This window comes from Homo sapiens, chromosome 22 (genome assembly GCF_000001405.40).
Source record: "Homo sapiens chromosome 22, GRCh38.p14 Primary Assembly".
In the NCBI taxonomy this organism is placed as follows: Eukaryota; Metazoa; Chordata; class Mammalia; order Primates; family Hominidae; genus Homo; species Homo sapiens.
In genome coordinates, this window is record NC_000022.11 from 26,402,267 (window position 1) to 26,425,083 (window position 22,817).

At 43.9% G+C, this 22,817-nt stretch overlaps 1 pseudogene, besides 1 other annotated feature; it reads right to left on the reverse strand.

Annotated features, from left to right (window-relative positions):
• Positions 2,647-3,163: an enhancer, noted in NCBI's record as "NANOG hESC enhancer chr22:26800879-26801395 (GRCh37/hg19 assembly coordinates)". NCBI's record gives its function as "activates a minimal SCP1, AML or CMV promoter by ChIP-STARR-seq in naive H9 embryonic stem cells {active_cell/tissue: H9 hESC(naive)}" and the evidence as "EXISTENCE:reporter gene assay evidence [ECO:0000049][PMID:30033119]".
• On the reverse strand, positions 19,757-20,952 carry RPS3AP55 (RPS3A pseudogene 55; annotated as a pseudogene).

Genomic DNA, 22,817 nt, shown 5'->3' on the forward strand with positions numbered 1-22,817 from the left:
TTGTGGCCCCTACCTGTAATCCCAGCACTTTGGAAAGCTAAGGCAGGAGGATCCCTTGAGTTTGGGAGTTTGAGACCAGCCTGGGCAACATAGGGAGACCCCATCTGTATACATAATTTAAAAATTAGCCAAGTGTGGTGGTGTGCACCTGTGGTCTCAGCTGCTTGGGAGGCTGAGGCAGGAGGATCTCCCTAGCCCAGGAGGTCAAGCCTGCAGTGGGCCATGATCATGCCACTGCACTCCAGCCTGGGCCACAGAGCAAGATCTTGTCTCAAAAAAAAAAAAAAAAAGAAAGAAAGAAAATACATCCTGTGTCCCCACCCCACCCCAACTTCACACATACAGAGAGCTATTAAGAATTCAGTCATACTTGCAAAACACCTATACTTCATCTGCAAAGTTATCATATTGATGTAATGTACAAACAGTTTTCCTACTTCTAAAAATAAGTCTGAGATCCGTAAGGATTCAAGACCCACAGGTAAGAATCAAATACTCTATGTTGGTGGCTCATAAGGCATCTTGAACTGCCAGAGAGATATGCCTGGAAGCGGACCTCAGCTAAAGAGGGATGGGGTTGAGGGGTAAATACCCAGCTCCCCCTTTCCTTGGGAGGGACACCTTTGAGGCATGTTCTGCGCCGTCCCCAGAGTTCCCAGGGAGATCGGGGCCTCGGTTGTCCACAGCGCTCAGTAACATGCCTTTTATTGGCTTTCTTCCTTTCCAAGCCTCACTTCTCTGTTCCTTTTCTGGTGCATTCTGGTATCACCTCCAAATGAACCACTTCTAGAGGAATCCATGACTCAGGGTCGGCTTCCAGAGAACCAAACCAGGAAAGCTCTATCCTAACTCAGGAGACTCCCAACAAACCAGAGTCCACCCACATCCTCAGACTAAAAATCCCTGTTCTAAAGGACTCCACACACCAAGCAAGCGGTGCTCACTGCAAAGCCACCTGATATGGTGAGTTAGTGCCTTGTTAAAAAAAGAAACAAATTCCCAAGACCCTGTAGCTCCTTATACCTGATATTCTAATTGTCATCAGTTTGTGAATTTTTGAACTCTTCTAATCCTCGTGTTCCTAGGACACAGGCATGTTGTGCTTTTAGGGGCATGATTTACTGTTCCTTGCCAATTCTGCCCATCCCTCCACTGTGTTAAAAACCCTATGTTTATGTGGAACAGCCTTCTTACTGTTTTAATTCAGCTCCCCGTGATCTCCCTGCCCACAAGAAGAATTCCTGAAGCAGATGCTCCTTCCCTACCCGCTGAGCCTCACTTTCTGTCTCCTGTCCCATTTAGAAGAGCAATAGTGAGCTGGGAGCAGTGGCTCACGCCTGTAATCCCAGCACTTTGGGAGGCCGAGGCAGGTGGATCACCTGAGGTCAGGAGTTTGAGACCAGCCTGGCCAACATGGCAAAAACCCATCTCCACCAAAAATACAAAAAGTTAGCCGAGCGTGGTGGTGGGCGCCTGTAATCCCAGCTATGCGGGAGGCTGAGGCAGGAGAATTACTTTAGCCCAGGAGGCAGAGGTTGCAGTGAGCCAAAATCATACCATTGCACTCCAGCGTGAATGACAAAGTGAGACTCTGTGTCAAAAAAACAAAAAAAAAGATAAAGGAGGAGGAGGAGGAGAGGAGAAAGAAGAGGAGGAAGAAAGAAAGCAGAAGAAGGAGGAGGAGGAGGAAGGAGGAAGGAGGAAGGGTAATAGTGATTGGCCTAATGGCACAGTGAGAGATCTAGGCAGGCAGACCTGGCTCTATCACTTAATACCCCTGGGACTTTGGCCAGAGGTGTCAGTTTCCCAATCTGTAAAATGGATCTATAATAATAATAACTACTCTATATAGTTACTAGTGAGAACAAAGTGAGATAATACAGGTAAAATGTTTAGCACGGTGCCTGGCACATGGAAAATGCTTGAGAAATGGAGGCCTTTGTTGCCACTCAAGTCTAGCAGTCTTAAATATTTGTCGAATGAGTGAATGAAGTCAAGAGAAGGCCAAGCTGTGGGCAGTGCCTTTGGCTAAATCCCAGAGGACCTGAGGTCCTGCCTGTCTTAGCCACTCTCTCCTGATTCTCTGTCTCTTTGTCTTTCTGTCTCTGTCTCTTCTAGTTCCATCCCTGCCTCTCTCTGTGTGTTTTTCTTCTCCTATTCTCTTTTTTTATGGTCTATTTCTCTCTCTCTCTCTGTGTGTGTGTGTGTGTGTGTGTGTGTGTGTGTGTGTGTGTTTCTATGTGGCTCTGTTTTTTTCTCTCTGTCTCTTTTTCTCACTTTCTGTTTCTCTCCTGGTCTCTGTCTGTATCCCACCCCCGCCACATCACCCCCACACCAGCCTCCTCTTGCAGGGACCAAGTTGTCAGGCTGCTCACGTCGTGGGCTGCCTTGAAACCTGCCACGCACATTCTCATAGTTAGATTTCTCCTGCGTCCACCTCTACTTAAAAAAAAAAATATTTTGACATTTGAGATTCAAATAAAAAGACCATAGAATGGCCTCAGGGAATAGCAGTGCCTGGAAAAAACAAACCTCATTCCTAAACTTTGTGATTATTTTTTATTTTCTTTCTGTCTCTGCTGCCTGAAGCAGAATAAACTTTGTGTTTTTGAAAGACACATAGCACGAGGGTATGGGAACCCCTGCAAGCCCTCAGTGGGAGTTGCCCCACAACCAATCCTCCAAGTGAAGTGCTCCCCACTACCCCAGTGCTCACCATGAACACCAAAGTGAGTTGAGCTGGTAACAATTTTGTTTTCTGGAATCTGTCAACATGCGCAGCAGTTGCTTCCTAATCCTGCTGAGCCATTAGCCACAAGTTCCTCTTTTGTTACAATTTAGCTGCGAGCTTCAGAGAGTGACAAGAGTCAGGAGAAGGGAGAGCAGGGTAAGGCTGTGAAAAGATCCTGAAGAGGTGTTAAGAGCTCAGCAGTTGAGCCAGACATCCCTGGGTTCAAGCCTGGCCAGAACACTTAAGGGCTGGCTAACCTTGGGCAGACTGACATCTAACAAGTGTTCGGTAATTGCAATGTGTTTGGCATTGTGATAAGCTCCGTAAAGATGATCTCATTTCATCTTCCCTGCAATCCTGTAAATGACAAACTGGCTGCAGCTCAGAGAGGCTGGCTAACTCATCCAATGTTACGCAGCTTTGAATGTCTACTCTTTGAACAGTCCAATTCCTCGGCCCAATACCTGGAGACTTTGAGTGGGGGGAGTGCTGGTTCCTGGTACTCCCCACCTCACCTCTGAGTGCCCTAACCACCATGGTCACTCCCAGTGGAATTTTCACCCATCATACAGCTGCCTCTGGAAGCTGTGTAACTGCCTTTAGTGCTGGCCCCTCACTGGAGTGGAGTCCATGCAGTCCTACAAATTCAAAGAACCAGAACACCCTGGTTGTCAAGGCAGATGGGTAAGTGAGTGCAGGGCATTTTCAGCAAGCCTTTGGGGGTGGGGTCTGGGGGTCTGTTTCTTGAGCATCCAGAGCTCCAGCCAGTAGCTTCCTAGTGCATGACTGTGGGCCACTGAAGAAGGGGCAGGAAGGTGTGGAGGGTTAACCAGGAAGCTGGGCATGGGCCTGTAGCCTGTAGTCCCAGCTACTTGGGAAGCTGAAGTGGGAGAATCACTTGAGGCTAGGAATGTGAGGGTGAGTGTTCCATGATTAAGTCTGTGAATAGCCACTGCACTCTAGCCTAGGCAACACAGAGACCTCATCTCTTAAAAAAAAAAAAGGGGGGGTGGGGGTAAACACTACTCAACTCTTCAGGTAGACTCTCCTCCAGGGAGGGTGAGATGACCTACAGTCCAGCAATCTAAGACAGTTTCTTTCCTTTCACATATGAACATTTCTGAAATTAGGGTATATCTTACAATTGATGCTATTTTATAACTACTTGGCAGCACCGTCCTCAGCATATGTAAAAGAACAGTGAGTCCTACAAAGATTTACCTTCTATTCAATGATCTATGGTAGCTCAGAGGCTGGCTCTTATTGGCCCAACTTGGGTCACGTGCCTCTCCCTGGCCAATCATGGCGTCTCTAGTTGTAATGCCTCAGTCACATGCACCTCTGGGGTTGGAAGTTGAGGTCAGCCTCATCTGAGCAGCTGGATCAACAAAGGATGAGTGGTTTCTGGGACGAAAATCAAAATGTCATTACCAGGAGAGAGAGCTGTGGATTCTAGGGAGGTAGAAGCAACCACTGCATCCTCTACCCAGAATCATCATGAGATTCCATGAGAATATCTGTGTGAGACAATTGGCCCATAGAAAACGCTCAGTACTCTCGCCTGCTAATATTATTAAAGATGCCAAGTTGAAATGTTTTACCTGAACCTACTCAAGCCTCTACACAAAACTTCTAGTTTGCAGGAAATGCCCAATTAGAAGTGGAGGGTATACACAGGAGGTGTTCTGTGTCCTTTTTTTTTTTTTTTTAAACTTCTCAATGTGTTTGGAATTTTTCAAAATAAAAACAAATTAGTAAGACAGATGCCTAGGCTGGGTGTGATGGCTCACAACTATAATCCCAACACTTTGAGAGGCCAAGACAGGAAGATTACTTGAGCCCAGGAGTTTGAGACAAGCCGGGCAACATAGTGAGACCTTGTCTCTACCAAAAAAAAAAAAAATTAATTAAATTAGCAAGGTGTGGTGGTGCATGCCTGTAATCCCAGTTACTTAGGAGGCTGAGGTGGAAGGATCACTTGAGCCCAGGAGTTTGGGGCTGCAATGAGCTATGGTCATGTGCACTCCAGCCTAGGCGACAGAGCAAGACCTTGTCTATAAAAATAAAGAAAAAAGATGCTTACCATCACTAATAATTAGAGAAATGCAAACAGAAACAGAGATTGCCACTTCACACCCACTAGTATGCCATAATAAAAACAAAAACAGAAACAAGATGGCAAGCATTGGCAAAGATGGGGAGAAACTGCAATCCTTGTATAGCTGCTGTGGAAACAGTTGAGCGATTCTTCAAGAAGTTAATGGAATTGCCATGTGATGCTACAATTCCACTTTTAAGTATATGCTCAAAGGAATTTAAAAAACAGGTTCTTAAACAAATACTTGTATGTGGATGTTCAAAGCAGCACTCTTCAGCCAAGAGGTGGAAACAACCCAAATGTCCATTAATGGACAAAAGAATAAGTAAATTGTGGCCTATACAATGAAATATTATTCAGCCATAAAAAAGGATGAAATGGGCCGGGCGCAGTGGCTCACACCTGTAATCCCAGCACTTTGGGAGGCCGAGGCAGGCAGATCACAAGGTCAGGAGATCGAGACCATCCTGGCTAACACGGTGAAACCCCATCTCTACTAAAAATACAAAAAATTAGCCAGGCATGGTGGTGGGCGCCTGCAGTCCCAGCTACTCGGGAGGCTGAGGCAGGAGAATGGCATGAACCCGGGAGGCGGAGCTTGCAGTGAGCCGAGATCGTGCCACTGCACTCCAGCCTGGGCGACAGAGCGAGACTCCGTCAAAAAAAAAAAAAAAAGATGAAATACTGATACATGCGGTAACACAGATGAACCTTGAAAACATTATCCTAAGTGAAAGAAGCCAGACACAAAAGATCACATATTCTATGCTTCCATCAATATGAAATATCCAGAAGAGGCAAATCCACAGAGACAGGAAGCAGATTGGTGGTTGTCAGGGACTGGGGTAGGAAAGAAGGAGGAGTAACTGCTTGATGTGTATAGGGTATTCTTCTGAGGTGATGAAAATATTTTGGAATTAGCAGTGGGGTTGCACAACATTGCACCTATACTAAATGCCATTGAACTGTTTACTTTGCAAAGGTTCATTTTATGTTACGCGAATTTCACCTCAATAAAAAAAAGTTGATGGGAAAATGAAATAAAAATAAATACCTAAGAAGCCCTCCCAGGAAATATTTCTAGGAAAGTGGGGAAATAAGACAGGGAAGAGGCGACGGTTAGTAAAAAAGTACATTGAGCAAGTTAGTCCTGCGGGCGACTGGAGCTCCATCCCTCTGGGGACCCCAGGGGACCAGTGGAGAATACACACTTTGGTCTTCCTATTCCAAATGGTGAAGGAGTAGAGATATTTGTCTTCCAGCTCTCAGCAGTCATTGTATGAGGGCTGCTGTCAGAGGATGTTAATCCCTGATACTTTCAGGCCTGCCCCCTGTGTCAACAAACGGAGGTCTCCAGAGAAGGCCCTCAAGGCAAGGGACACAGGTGCACATAAGTGGTCAAGAACAAGGGCATATGTGGCATCTCCTGCAAGTTCTAAGATGAGAGTGTATGCTGAGACAAACAAGAGTGCCTCTTCTGCGGTCAAATGGCTTATAAAAGCCAGAGGAAATATATAAAACAGTTTCTCCTTTTGGGTTTGTGAGAGCAGTGAAGTGTTTTTGCTGAATCTTATTGAAAATTACATTTCTTTGCTTCTTTCCTTTCTTCCTTCTTTTCTTACTTCCTCCCTCCTCTCTCCCTCCCTTTCTCCCTCTTACTTCCCTCCCTCCCTTCCTTCCTTCCCTCCTTCCTACCTTCCTTCCTTCCTTCCTTCTTTCTTTCCTTCCTTCCTTTCTTCCTTCCTCCCTCCCTCCCTTCCTTCCTTTTTCTTTCTTGAGACACAGTCTCACTCTGTTGCCCAGGCTGGAGTGCAGTGGCACAATCACAGTTCACTACAGCTTCGACCTCCTGGACTCAAAGGATCCTCCTGCCTCAGCCTCCCGAGTAGCTGGGACTACAAGCACATACCACTATGCCCAGCTTATTTATTTATTTATTTATTTATTTATTTATTTATTTATTTTATTTTATTTTTTGAGACAGAGTCTCACTCTGTCGCCAGGCTGGAGTGCGGTGTCACAGTCTTGGCTCATTGCAGCCTCCATCTCCTGGGTTCAAGCGATTCTCCTGCCTCAGCCTCTCGAGTAGCTGGGACTATAGGTGCACACCACCATGCCTGGCTAATTTTTTGTATTTTTTTAGTAGAGACGGGGTTTCACCATGTTGCCCAGGCTGATCTCAAACTCTTGAGCTCAGGCAATCCTCCCACCTCGGCCTCCCAAACTGCTAGGATTACAGGCATGAGCCATCGCGCCTGGACTTTTTTTTTTTTTTTTTTTTTTTTTTTGTAGAGACAGGGTTTTGCTCTGCTGCCCAGGCTGGTCTCAAACTCCTGTATTCAAGCAATCCACTTGCTTGCCTCGGCCTCCCAAAACACTGGGATTACAGGCATGAGCCCCCACACCCACCCTACATATATTTGTTTCCATAAAAACGTATCATTACCAGCTGATTAGGAAGCTGGAGTGGAAGGTCAGTACTGCTCTCCTGTTGATAGTGCTCCATGCCTGGCTTACAAGTAATTGGATTTTTGCAGGTGGGTCCCGCCTCTACGGATCAATCAGGAATGTGTCCCCAAATCCAGAAGAATCCCAGGGTTTGTGAAAAATGCATGCTCCTCTCTCCCCCACACATGCATATGTGAAAACCATGAATTCTTAAAGCAAATGCCCCAACCTGAAATTTACTAGTAAGAAAAGCTAGGGTTCCTGGGAATGAATCCCACAAGCGAGGAAATACCAGCCAATGGAAAAGTAGCCTCCCCTTGCCAGAGCCATCTCCCTAGCACTGTGATCACAAGATTCACACAGGCGTCAGTCACCGCATCTGCCCCACTGGTGGCTTAAAAGTGGGAGTGCTGAAGATGAATTGGAACAATGACTTGGTGATGTAAAGAGGAACCAGTGTATAGGCTTGAAATGCTGGGGGGAAAAATGACTTCATCTTTATCATTCTGCTTCTCTTCCTTCGGAAGGTCAAATTGGGTGTGCCGTAGAAAGCCCCAGAACTGTGGGTATTTTGCCATTGACTTTAACTGATAGACTGACATGCACTCCCCATGGTAGCTCATATGTGCTCCACCTGTCACTGCCTCTTCAAAACATTGTTGGTTTCCATGGAGACAAAAAAGCACTTGCTGGAAGAGCTGCTGGAAATTTCAAGTCAAGATGTCCAGAACTACCCTGCCATATATTTTCTAAGACCTGATGTGAAAGAGAAACAATAGCACAACTTTGCAAAGAGGACAAAGGAAAACAAACCATCATAAGAATGGCTTGACACTGTTTCTAGATCCCAACATCCTGTCTGGATTTTTCTGTCCTTTTAAAAACAAGCTCTGGGCAGCTATCGGGTGAAGCAGACCTGCTGATCTGCAGGCTCCTGACTTCAGACATGATTTTATTATGGGCAAGAAACCAGTCTGCTCTTCTCAGAGTTTAAATCTTGACAGGTCAGTGCAATAACATGACTGTGAATACGCTTACAAAATGAACCCAGCATCTCTTGCATGCCAATCTACCTCCCACTCTCAGGGCTAAAAAAGAGCTCCTCGACTTGTGTGATTATACAGTATATCTATTTTTTAAATCTATTCTGTAAGGCAGTAATGCGAAATGAAAGATAATAGCATCTTCTAACAGCTGTCATATTAACATACCATAAGACGAAATTTTAAAAGAGAGCTTCTAAAGAGAACACTCAATTTATTTTTAAAAAATAGATTCAAAAAAAATAGAGAAACTAAAATTTTTGTTTCTCTGTTATGATATAAAAACTTAGCTATTCTGACAAAGGTCCCATTCTTGGCCTTTACTTTTCTGGTAAACTTCATTTGAGCCATTAGAAAACTATGACCTTAACCTTTTGGTTTTTATCCATGATTCCAGTAGTTAATGGAAAACTTCTGACTTCTCCATTTGAGTTGCTGGAATCACTATCCTTCTTCCAGTTACCCAAGGTAGAAAGCTGGGACTCAACCTGGATTCCTTCTTCTCCCTTAACCCCCACATCCATCAATCACCAAATTTTGTTCATCTCCTAAATGTTTCTCAAGCTCTCTTGCTCTTTTTCATTGCCACGATCATTGTCCCAGTTGATATGCTTGCTAAGACTATTGCAGTAGCATCCTAGCTAATCTCTCTGCTCCTGATCTTGCCCTCCTCAGATCCACCCTCCATGTAGTAGCCCTGTTTTCCAAAAATTGAGGCTAGATATTATAGTATGAAAGCTGGATATCATAAAAACACATAAGTATAGCTGAGGAGTTCCAGGGGTGGACTGTATCAGTCACAATTGATGCTCCCCCTCTTGGAAAGCCCAGACACCATTATCACAGCCAAAGCCTCCACTGCCCCAGTGCTGACCTTCTTGCCTTCTCTGAGATAAGGCCGGGGTCAGACACAATCTTCACTGCATTCACCATGGCGGGAGCCATAGCAGCTGGACACCCAAGTTCCTGACCACACCAGCCTCATGGAGACTTGACTCTGCTCATGATGTCTAGATTCAGACGAAGCACCACGCAACAGAGCCTGGAGTCTGGCCTTCCCAGCAGCTTCCCAGAAATGCTAGTTTAAGTGTGGAGACTGAATGCTCCGTGAAATAAACTTTAATTAATGAGAGTCAAGAGTCAAGAGGAAACAAGGGAAAAATTCATCTCTCTTCCTCTCTTTGATGAACTGTTCTGAGGCACAGTGTTTCTCTACAGCCTGCTCGGAGATGTCCCGCATGACTGAGCAACTGGCTGTGCCTCTTCTTGGAGCTGTGGCTTGCTCAGTATCCCATCCCTTTATGTTTGTTCCATCTCCATCTTTGGCTCATGCCTTGCCCTGCAATCTTCACCTAACTTTTGCTCACCCCTTAAGACTTGGCCCAAGTATCAACTTACCTATTCTCTTACCATTTCCATCCCACAAAAAGGTCTAAGTCAGGTGCCCCTTCTCAGTACTCCACAGAAATCTGAATCCTTGGAACTATCAGCTTTATTGAATTATCTGCTCTTCCGTCCCTCTTCCCTATCAGTCTGTGAACTCCTCCGAGAGCAGGGACCACGCTTTATTTATTTGCTTCCCTAGTACCTAGCACTGTGCCTAAAACTCAGTAAAGATTGGCTAAACCAAAGGGCTGATTTATAGGCACTTCATGAGGCTTCAAATGGTGAAAAAAGATTTTTACAGATGCACAACACCAAAGGAAGGCATTCCTGGACATAGACACAGCCTGAGCAAATACCTAAAGGAGGAAAATGTCCGTGTATAGGGGATATGCTTAGCCAGATAGGGGCTTTCTTGTGCAAGGTCTTGACAACCAGGCTGATGAGCTAGTATATCTTTTCCATTGGTTAACTGAGAGCCATTGAAACCAAGTTGTTCATTTAGGAGGCTTAAACCATGAATGATATGTAGGATGAATGGGGAAGAGGGTACAGATTGGGGAATTGTGCAGATTGGAATTACCATGATAGCAAAGAGAATGGGAAAGAGATGCTTGTGAGAAAGACAAGGGAGGTAGACTGTACGGGATGTGGCAAGCATTTATAAGTGAAAAGGATCAAAGTTGGCTTCTAATATTCAAAACAAGGGCTCTGGGAGAATGGCAGCGTTGGTAACTGAAAAGGAAAAGATGGAAGGATTTCAGATTTAGGGCTGGAAGTAAGGACTGAAGAATCGTCAGAAGCATTTTAATAAAAGATGAGACTGTTTACTGCCACATACATGCACAGATACACATTATCACTATCACCACCACCACCACCAGCAATAGGTGCCAATCAAGTGAGTCCCAGCCTTCATTCTCCCACCACTGCTTTTATCATCAGTGAGAGGCACAGGAGTAAAATAATATTTCCACAAATTCAGAGGGCAAGAGCCATCTGTCCTGCCAACATATGCCTCTTTATTAATTTTTTTGACAGAGTTTTGCTCTGTCATCCAGGCTGGAATACAGCGGCATGATTATGGCTCACTGCAGCCTGAAACTCCCAGGCTCAATCGATCCTTGCACCTCAGTCTCTTGAGCAGCTGGGACTACAGGTGCACACCACCATGCCTGGCTAATTTTTCTATTTTTTGTACAGATGGGGTCTCCCTATGTTGCTCAGGCTGATCTAGAACTCCTGGGCTCAAGCAGTCCTCCCATCTCAGCTTCTCAAAGTGCTAGGATTCCAGGCATGAGCCACAATTTATGCTTTAAATGTAAGGTGAGTCAGCAACAGCAAAATTGTTAGCATCCCCGTTTGTTCATACTGCAAAGTCCCATCTCTCGTGTTAACCTGGAAATCCATACTGTAAACATATTCTTGAGTCTACATGAATAATTTCCTTTAAAGCCAGATAATTTTGATGGGTTAGAAAAGAAAGCAAAAGAGTAGGGAAGAAAAAGTGAAAGTTACATAGCAATATAAAAATTCCTTTTTTGCCTGGCACAGTGACTCATGCCTGTAATTCCAGTACTTTAGGAGGCTGAAGTGGGAGGATAACTTCAGGCCAGGAGTTTGAAACCAGCCTGAGTGACATAGTGGGACCCCATCTCTACAAAACATACAAAAATTAGCCAGGCATTGTGGCATGTGCCTATAATCCCAGATACTTGAGAGGCTGAGGCAGGAGGATCACTTGAGCCCAGTTTAAGGCTGCAGGGAGCCATGATCATGCCACTGCACTCCAGCCTGGGTGGAGACTCTGTCTCAAAAAAAAGAGAAAAGGTAAATTCCTCTTTCCTTACATCAAGTCATTGGTGTTATGGAAAGGGAGAAACTTGGAAGCTGTTATTATTAGTATTGCACTTGTCCTCATTTTCATGTTTCAAGCCTCTACTCAGGGCCCTGCTGTGGCTGTTAATTGGTCCAGGAGTTAAGAGCATTAAGCGAGCATCCTCTTGAACAGCTGGCACTAAAAGAAGACAGAAAATAGAAGTTGCAATCTTCATTCTTTGAGGTTACTTTCTAAAATGAGCAATCCAAACACAAAGGATCATTTAGAAATAAGAGACTAGAGACTATTAGATAATGGACACTAACGGGCTAAAAGTAAAAATAAATAAATACATATCTTTATAATGTGAAAGCAAGTGGGGCATTTAGGAAGGAGTGTTTTGGGAGACCTGGAGCATCATTTTTGAATGGAGCGGTTTGGAGAAATCTGTCTCTTCCTTTTCATAAAGTTATTCTGGGTGGCCTTCACCAAGGCGATCTATAAAGCTGTGAAGAGCTATTAGATCAAGTGCCTGGATGTTGCAAAGTGATTCGGAGATAAGTAGAGAGGAAAAGTCTACTCCGGAAGGGAGATATATTGTTGGGGGAAATCCATCCATTTCTATGAGGCAAATATTTCTCAATGTGGTTCTCAAAACATCTGCATTCGAACTACTAGAGCAGCTGATAAATACAGGCCTCCATGTTCCTGATTCAGATTCTGATTGAGTAGGTCAGGAGTTTCAACCCAAACACAGGTGAGTCTCAGGCAACTGAGGTTTGAGAAGCACTGCAAGTCTTTCTCCCAGGCACTCTCATTCCCACCCACCTCTATAATAGCTCTCATGTCTACAATCACTTATTTAAATACACTTACTGAAGGTCGGGCATGGTGGCTCCTGCCTGTATGCTTAGCACTCTGGGAGGCGAAGGCAGGTGGATTGCTTGAGCCCAGAAGTTTACGACCATCCTGGGCAACGTGGTGAAACCCCATCTCTACAAATATTAGCCCTACTAATTTTTTTTATTAGCTGGGCTGCTCAGCTACTCAGGAGGCTGAGGTAAGAGGATCACTTGAGCCCAGGGAGGTAGAGGCTACAGTAAGCCATAAGTGCACCACTGCACTCCAGCCTGGGTTACAGAGTGAGACTGTCTCAAAATAAATAAATAAATAAACAAATTTACTGAGTCTCGGTGCCAAGCTTTACTCTAGTCACTGAAGATACAGGAGAGACCCAAAGAGACCGCATCCCTGCCCTCATAGGGCTTATATGCTAGTGGATATGACAAACAGTAAACAAATAAGAGTATAATAAATATGCAATATGGTTGGGCGTGGTGTCTCACACCTGTAATCCCAACAGTTTGGGAGGCCAAGGTGGGTGGATCACCTGAGGTCAGGAGTTTGAGACCAGCCTGGCCAATATGGCAAAACCCCATCTCTACTAAAAATACAAAAATTAGCCAGGCATGGTGGCATGTGCCTGTAGTCCCAGCTACTTGGGAGGCTGAGGCAGGAGAATCACTTGAACCTAGGAGGCAGCAGTTGCAGTGAGCTGAGATCATGCCATTGCACTGCAGCCTGGATGACAGAGTGAGACTCTGTCTCAAGAAAAAATAAATAAATAAATATGCAATATGATAATAAGCACTGTGAGAAAGGACTGATGGAGTGCTGTTGTGCTTGTCAAAGAGGGCTTCTCTGATAAGGGGCATTTAAGCAGGAACCCAATCTTCTAAGTTCCCTGAGACCACCAATGGTTTGCCCATTCAGCCAATCCTCCAAATGTATTCATTCACCAATATTAATTGAGGGCCTCTTGTGTGCCAGGCAAACCTGTCCAATATCCCCGCATGGCCCCATTAGGGAGGCTTACATTTCATTCCCTAGGATTCTCAGCAGTCCCACAGCTTTTCACAGCCCCTCTCAAGTCCCCTGAGTCCCTGGCACACCCTTCCATTCCATGACCCCTGACCACCCACCTTCTGCATTTCTAGTTCATTGCTCTGAATCTACCACTTCTCAAATCAACATCGTGCATCAAACATCACACTCTTCATATGACACAACCTAGCGGAAGGTTTGATGAGGGCACTGTGTTGCCCGGGTCAAGGGAGCTACAAGGGGTAATGAAAGCTGTGAGTAACAATACAGTTGTTCATGTTCATGCTAACTCTTCTTGTGGTCAAGCAAGATCCTGGAGTCAGTAGCTTGAATAAAAATGGTTAAAATGTGTGTGCTTTGGTGGATAAGGAGGCTGAGGACAGGAGAAAACTAAAAGTTGTTGGGTACTCCTAAGTCAGACTGTGTGTAAGTGGTTTGCTTATATTATCTTATTTGATTGCTATGACAATACTCTGAGGTTGGTAATAAGCCCATTGTTACAGATGGACAACTGAGGCTCTGAGAGCTTCAGTAACCCGTGTCTAAGGCTGCATAGCCAATGATGGGTAAAACGGGGATTCAAACCTACATTTGAGCCTAAAGCTCCTTGTTTTCTTCCACCAGGTGAAGTAAGAGTTTGTAAAGGCAAAAATTCTGAACAGTGCCTCCTAGGTTAACAGAAATCATGATGACTTTGCCAGCAAAAGACTCGGAGGAACATTGAGTACACAGCCTCTCAGTTCTAGGTAGGTCATATGTGTCAGCCAGTAGGTTGAGTTTATAACAGTCACGTCGTGACCTGAACACCCTCCCACTCCACTGCTGAATCAACTAGATAGAATCTGGCAGGGATGATATATAACTACCTTAGACAGGTGTAAGGGAGGGGAAAATACAGACAAAAAGACAACAAAAAGGAAGCTTGCAAGAAAAACGAAAAAAACTGAACTAACCCCTAATGCATCTGATTGAGGCTTCTGCAAAACTACCAGATGCATTCAGATCAAACTAACTATTAAGAAATGCAAAGAATTGGATGCTGTCTTAGGTTGAAACAAATCAAAACAAAAAAGAAATGCAAAGAAAACTTAGCTCCTTGGAGCTGTCCTAAATTCATATACCATGCTTGAGCTTGTAACATTGATCCAGGTGACTCCCAGTTACGGTGTTCACTTTGTTCCCTCTAGGTATGTGCCAGGTGATGAGGAGACATACTGTCTGGGCTCTTCAGACAGGCTTCTTTCTCCCTGGAACTCAGAAAATTCCAACTACCTAGAGTTTGCAAAGGCAGCCGGCCAGGGAAGGATGCTGGCTCCAGGTCCTGGGGCCCCTCCCTGGAGGGAACAAATGCCTCTCGGATTGCAGCTGCAGAAAGAGAGAGGAGAATCGGGGAATGGAATGGTGTGCTGCAGAGGCAGTGGTTTGGACAGCGACTGGGTGACTCATGCCCCAGGCAGCTTTTTACAGGAGTTGCAAATTCCAGTAATAGCAGATCAGGAACATCTCTCGAGGGACACCCTACCAATCGAAGGTGTCTCTTGCACCATCTTGGCAGCGCTGAATGGGCATCTGAATAGCTTATCTATTCAGATCCTTTGCCGGATCCCAAAGGTTCTCCTTGCTTTGGCCCCTGGGCTTCCTGAAACCGGGCGGTTATTCTCCCCGGAAGTTGGAGGAATTGGATAATATTGTCTACAGACACCACACCTGAATCTTATCCCTACTACTACAAATAGGGATGCTATTTTCTTGTCCTGTGTCCTGGATGGTGAATTGAGTATCTTGTGCCCTGCCAAAAGCCACTCTATGGCCACCTCCTCTCTGTCCTAGGTTCCTGGAGGCTAACTGTGTAGCTCCCATCAATGAGCGTCCTCTCTCTGGCTTTTAGTTAGGTATACTCTACAGGCAGCCCCGGCAGGAAATAAAAAGGTGGGAGGAGAGTGAGGTCATTTCTTCTGGCTTTCTCTTTGTGGAGTTACCACAAGCTGACTGTGTCCCTTATGAGAATAATCCAGCCCTCTCTAAACAATATGGGTCTCTCCAGGTTCTGGTAGCCACTCTCCAGGTTCTGGTAGCCTTCCTTTGTCCATTCAGGCCCAAGGGGATGACATCTCCCCTGTTCCTAGTCTCCGCCTGTTACTAGTCTGTTATTAGTCTGGGGTACCATATCCTTCTTGGAGTTTTCTTCAACCCTGTTCAATCCCTTTATTAAACCCTCTTCAGGCTGGGTGCAGTGGTTCATGCCTATAATCCCAACACTTTGGGAGGACAGGCAGGAGGATCACTTGAGGCTAGGAGTTCCAAGACCAGCCTGGGCAACATAGCAAGACTCCATCTCTACAAAATATTTTAAAACTTAGCCAGGTATGATAGCGCACACCTGTAGTCCCAGCTACTCAGGAGGCTGAGGCTGAAGAATCACTTGAGCCCGGGAGTTGAAGGCTGCAGTGGGCCATAATTGCACCACTGCATTCCAGCCTGGGTGGCAGAGCAAGACCTGATCTCTAAAAATAAATAAATAAATAAATAACTAGCAAGCCCTCTTCAAAGGACCCAATGTGGGAGCATATCATTTCCCCACTGCTGGACACCTGAGCGATACTAATAGTTTAGGTAGATGCAAACCTCACCCGCCTCTCCTGTCTCCTGCTATTGCTATTACCGTAGCTACATGAAGTAACAAGATCCAAGCCTTGTTAAGGAGAGGAGAGCAGAAACTATGTCATGCCACTTAGAATGAAACGCAAGTTCCTTACCATGGCTTAAAAGGTCTGAGCTGGCTCTCCAAATTCCTCTCCCTCCACACTCCCTCTCGTCTGTCCCAGCTACAGCAGGCCTTTTGCCATGCTTGAAGCCAAGCTTATTCACACATATAAGCCTTTGTACTTGCAGTTTCTTCCTTCCCTCTACTTGCTACTGGGTCCTGGGTGAGGGATTACCTTAGGTTGTCAAGTTTAATCCTTCCTCCTGCAAACTCCCTGAGGCAGACTCTTTTTTTGTTGTTTTGTTGTTTTGGTTTTTGGCATCATTGTGTTCCAGGAGCCGCAAACTCAAGTGTCTTTGGAACATGACAGGTAACAGAAACAAGAGAAGGGGCCAAGACTAATAAAAATCATTCAGCCCTCTTGGTCTGGCTTTTGTTTTTCCCCTTTTGACAGAGACGTGGGAGCAGAGAAATATTTCCTTACTATAAACACTCACACACACACACACACACACACACATTCATACACGTACTCATACATAGTGCAAAGAGGATGAGAATGGCAAGTGACAATTGTCACTGGAGCTGGAGAGCAAGAGGGATTGGGTGAGCACTGCAGCAAACCACACACCAGCCAATTTGCTGTTTTGCAGAAATCTGACCCAGGGTGACCAGATATTGCTGTTTTCCAAGAGAAACTGAAAATCTAGATTTTTATATGGTGTCTCCTAATTTTTAAATGTTGGCAATTTTTAAAACCCTGTGCAGGCCACATTAAGCATATCTTTGTGCTGGATTTAACGCAGAGGCTGCTGGTATACAATCACTGCTGTATGTTCAGTGGGCTTAGCATAGTATATGCTCAATAATTATATGTTGAATAAATGAATAGCCTTCCCAGTTGACTTCTCAGCATTTAGAAGTAGCTGACAGGTAGTTCACCTCCCCTCTGTTGGGAACATTTTTTAAAAGTAGATTCAGAACAGGAAGAAGCTTCTCCATTATAGCTGGAAGCTTTAAGGTATAGCTGCTCCTGGACTCAGACACAACCCATCAGAAATTTCTTGAAGATTACATTTCTGTATCACTCAGACTGGGGCTGGTGTATGAATCAGTAAGTAATGACATGGCCATGTCTGTTTTTTACAGCCAGCATCCGTTCTGATGGTTGGCACCATGGTGTACAGATTATTAAGTAATTTTAATATCACCCCCAACTGGGTGCAGAAATGGAAACCTATTACTGGTCATAGTCTGTTACCACCAAGAAAGGCTCATGGAGGTGGGAAATGATGCCTGTTGTCAAAACAAGATCTAGTTCACTTAGGTGTTGAATTCTATTCCAGATTTTATAGAGGGCTGCTTCTCTCAAATCTCTTATTGGAACCTGGCCACGCTTCTCATTTCTATTTTTCCATCTGGGAGACATACAGGCTCTCACACCTAGTTTCCATGCCCAGCCAAAGCTATTGCAAAGCTCCTAGAGAACATGGAATGACTGGAGACATCCGGATAAAGGTCACAAGGTGGAACAAGTGCAGGGTGACCCAGTGGAAAGCAGTGGTGGAAACAGGTGGATGGCTTTGGGAAGAGGTTCTAACTAATTCACTTTCCCCAGTGTATAAAAGCAAGCTTTTCCCCAGGCTTCACAAACAGCAGGCTCGTGTCTAGCTCTACCTACTTGCACGTAAGCAGGAAGTTCATCGTCTGTTCAAATGCTAAATAGATGTTAGCAGCACTTTATTGGATCAGCTCAAGGTGATTTCGATTTGTTCTGGGAACGCATTCATCATCTTATAACACATGTGTGTGGCTCTGCTTTCTGGACAGATAGAATTACTCATGTGTATGTGTCAACCAACCAAATTAAATCATCCAATGTGATAAACCCATTTGGAGGGCTATTCCCTTTCATTTATTCTAGGGAAATAATATTCTAGGCAAACTTATTTCCTAGAATTTGTGACTCAGGTTTAACTTCATATTTCCCAGAGCAAAGCTTCCCAACTTTTATTTGGGGCAGTGGTTTACAAAGTTATTTTAGTCCTGGGGTCTTTTATAATAGCTTCCAAATACAGAGGCCAATATATAAAGCTGAGAAAGGTCAAGCAGATCAGAGGGAAGAACTGGGAAACCTGGGCATTTCCTCTGCCCCTGTCTCTTGTTGCCGACGTGCGGGGACTACCAGGAACCTCTGGAAACACACTTGAAACAGCTGCACTTGCAAATCTCCAAATAGCTCAAGCTGTGTTGGAAACTCACAACTCAAACTTTCAAAAACAAAGGGTTAATTTTACCGTGTCAAATTGCCTTCTTATAATTTATAATCTCATAATATTTCCAACATTCCTAAAGAAAAATAGAACAAATGTTTATGTACCCATCACTCAACTTTATCAAATCTTAACATTTTGTTTTGGTTATTTTTAAAGGAGTAAAATATTACAAATATTGTTGAAGCCCCTTTATGTGCTCCTCCCAAATCTCATTCTCCTTTCCTCCTTCCTTCCTCCTCAGAAATAACCACTACACTGAACTCGTATTGATCATCCCCATGAAAGATTTTTCCTATAAATACATATTAATATATAGTTTCCCCTAGTGAGAATATGTATATATGCAGTGGCTCATGCCTATAATCCCAACACTTTTGGAGGCAGAGACAGGAGGATGTCTTGAGCCTAGGAGCTTAAGGCCAGCCTGAGCAACATAGCAAAATCCCATCTCTACAAAAGATCAAAAAATTAGCCAGGCATGGTAGCATGTGCCTATAGTTCCAGCTACTCAGGAGGCTGAGGTGAGCCCAGAAGGTTGAGGCTGCAATAAGCCAAGATCATGCCACTGCACTCCAGCCTAGGCAACGGAGCAAGACCCTATCAAACACTTACAAAAAATAATAATGTTGCAAACATCAATCTGCAATTTGCTCTTCTAGCTCAACATTGTGTTTTGGAGATTTATCCACCTTGATGCATTTAGCTCTGGCCCATGCACTTTAACTACTACATCATATTGTGTTGTATGAATTTTTTTTTTTTTGAGATGGAGTTTCACTCTTGTTGCCCAGGCTTGTGCAATGACATGATCTCGGCTCACCGCAACCTCCGCCTCCAGGTTCAAGCAATTCTCCTGCCTCAGCCTCCTGAGTAGTTGGGATTACAGGCATGTGCCACCATGCCCAGCTAATTTTGTATTTTTAGTAGAGATGGGGTTTCTCCATGTTGGTCAGGCTGGTCTCGAACTCCTGACCTCAGATGATCCGCCCACTTCGGCCTCCCAAAGTGCTGGGATTACAGGCGTGAGCCACCGTGCCTGGCCTGTTGTATGAATTTGTGTGTGCATTTTCCTTTTTATCAATGCTGCCTCAAATTTTTCACGAAATGTTGCAACGAACATTCTTGTGCATGTATCTACTCTGAAAACTTCTCTAGGACCCAGTGCAACACACACACACACACACACACACACACACAAACACAAAGTAAAACAAAGTTTCACAAAACAATTGTCTTACTACACTTTCAGAAACTTTGTCATAATGTATATCATAGTTCTTTTTATCAGGTTGACATTTCCCTTCCATTCCTAGTTTGCTGAGAGTTGTTAATCATGAATGGGTGTTGAATTTTGTCAAATTCTTCTTTTTTCACAAATAGGACTTTTTATTTCCCACTGATTATAAGTCCGAACTTTAAACAGATTCTTGGACTGGTGGTTCATATCCATCAGCTTGCTCATCTTTAGCACCTATCTTGTCCCCAGTGGCTTTTCCAGAACTACTTCCTTCACCATGAAGCTCCATGAGTAGTTTTTCCAATTCATACTTGGGCTTCTTCAGCATTTTTACTTTTCTTTTTCCTTTTCTTTTTTTTTATTTTTTATTTTTTGAGACAGAGTCTTGCTCTGTCACCACCTGCAGTGCAGTGGCATGATCTTGGCTCACTGCAACCTCTGCCTTCCGGGTTCAAGTGATTCTCCTGCCTCAGCCTCCCGAGTAGCTGGGACTATAGGTGTGCACCACCATGCCCAGCTAATTTTTGTATTTTTAGTACAGACAGGGTTTCACCATGTTGGCCAGGATAGTCTCGATCTCTTGACCTCGTGATCCACCCACCTCAGCCTCCCAAAGTGCTGAGATTACAGGCATGAGCCATTGTGCCCAGTCAGCATTTTTACTTTTCTAATGAAAACATCTGGAGAGGATAAATGGATTGGCAAGGCTTTTCTATGTCTTTTCCAATGCTGTCTGGAGTCAGTTTATTGACCACTTCTTTCAAGTCATTTGTCTGCACCTCTCAGTTCATGATTTCCATCATCTTCTTCCAGATTTGGCGGACCTGTTGATGCTAAGCATAAGAAGTCTTCCATATTTGATTGTTGCATTTTTTAGTAAAACCAACACAGAACAGACAAAGCAAGTAACCATTGGTAGTCTTGACATCAACATGAGCTTCGATCACTGTCTGCCATTTTTTGACCATGGAACACATTTTGTCATGGGTAAGATTCATGCCATGGAAGTTCGTCAGGTAGCTTTTGCCCTGAACATCTTCAATAATCAGCTTTAATTTTCTAAATGCAACTTCATCATTCTGCAAATCAGCAAAACTCACTTCAAACACATGACCCATGAGGACATCAGATGCAATTTTGGTTCATTGGGTCCTGGTGACTAGCATCTTTCCGATATTTCTTATATTGAACGTAGCAGGTGCTTTCACATTGTACAAGTCTTCCTTAGAAAATGGATCAACCACTTTCTTCTTGGCTCCCTTTTTGCCACCTTTCATAAGGTGCTTGTTCTTGCCAACCACCATGGTACTGCTCAGAAAGCCAAAAAGGGATTATAGGGGTTTTTAAAAGAAATTCTGTCAATAAGGTAAACTACAATAATTAATTTTCAAATGTTGAGCCAACCTTGCATTCCTGAGATAAGCCCCACTTGGCCATAGGATGTTGCAATGAGTGCCAAGCTGCAAATATGAGGGCAGAGTTCTCCACAAGACTGCCCTCACTTCAGACTTCAGATACCAGCAGCAAATCTAGGGGTCCCTAGGGCCATCCTTATTTCATACTAGCTGGCAACAAGTTTGAGCATCCCAAAAGACTTCCTCAGGTTTGATAATTCAGAAAAATGAGTCACAGAACTCAGGAAAGCAATATACTTACAATTACAGTTTCATTACAGCAAAGCATACAAATTGGAACCAGCCAAAAGAAGACATATATAGAACAAAGTCTGAGAGGGCTTGAAACATAAAGGACACATTGATCTCTGGGCATCAAAGTGTGGCAATACTCTAAAAGTATGGCCAACCAGGAAAGCTTACCCAAGCATCAGTGTCCAGAGTTTGTATTGTGGCTTCATTATGTAGATATGATTGATTGAATCACCACCTATATCATTGAACTCAATCTCCAGTCCCCCTCCCTTCCCTGGAGATGATACCATTTAGCTCAAAGTCTCCACCCTCTAATCACATGATTGGTCTTTCTGGTGTGGCCAACCCCCATCCTGAGTTATCGCATTAGCACAAACTATCGAGTAGGGCCTGAGGGGTCTACCACAAATGCACAGATAACAAAGACACACTTATTATTCAAGAAATTATAAAGGTTTAGGGGTTAAGAATTGGGGACAAAGACGAGCTAAATTCTTCATTATACACACATGTTATGTTTTCTAATGTTGCTTGACTTGATTAGTTATTATTTTGTTAATGATGCATGTGTCTGTGCTCATGAAGAATATTAACCTGTAGCATGGTAGGTTTTGACAGATACCTTTTATACAATTTTTTAAAGTTTTCTTTTTTCTTTTTCTTTCCTTTTTTTTGAGATGGAGTTTTGCTCTTGTTGCCCAGGCTGGAGTGCAATGGCATGATCTGGGCTCACTGCAGCCTCTGCCTCCCAGATTCAAGCAATTCTCCTGCCTCAGCCTCCTGAGTAGCTGGGATTACAGGCACCCACCACCATGCCCGATTAATTTTTTGTTGTTGTTGTATTTTTAGTAGAGATGGGGTTTCACCATGTTGGCCAGGCTGGTCTCAAACTCCTGGACTCAGGTGATCCACCCACCTTGGACTCCCAAAGTGCTATAGCGTGCACCACCACACCTGTAGTGTGAGCTACCGTGCCCGGCCTAAAATTTTCTTATATTCCCAGTTTTCTAGGAGTTTTAATCATAAATGGATGTTTGACTTCTGTCAAATGCTTTTTCTGCATCTGTTGAGATCATGGTGTCATTCTTCTCCTTTACTTTGTTAACAGAATGAATTCTATTAAAATACTTTCTGATGTTGAACAATTCTACATTCTTGAAAAATAATATTTAATGTGAATAAAATTTTTCTTTTATTTAAATTTTTTTGAGACAAGCTCTCATTATGTTGTCCAGGGTGGTCTTGAAATCCTGGTCTCAAATAATCCTCCCACCTCAGCCTCCCAAGTAGCTGAGATTACAGGTGTGAGCCACCATGCCCGGCTTTAAAAACCATTTTAATATCACAAATAACATACTAATACTTATTTGTTAAAAGTGAAACTTACTTTTTAAAAGTTAAAAGTTAAGCTATTTCCAAATATTTGCAAATGCAAAGCGTATTCCTGAAAAGATGAATAAGAAATTTGTTATAATGGCTGTCTTCACTAAAGAAAACCAACTGGTTGAGGGATAGGAGAGTGACGCGGTCCCAGTAACTTTCTGC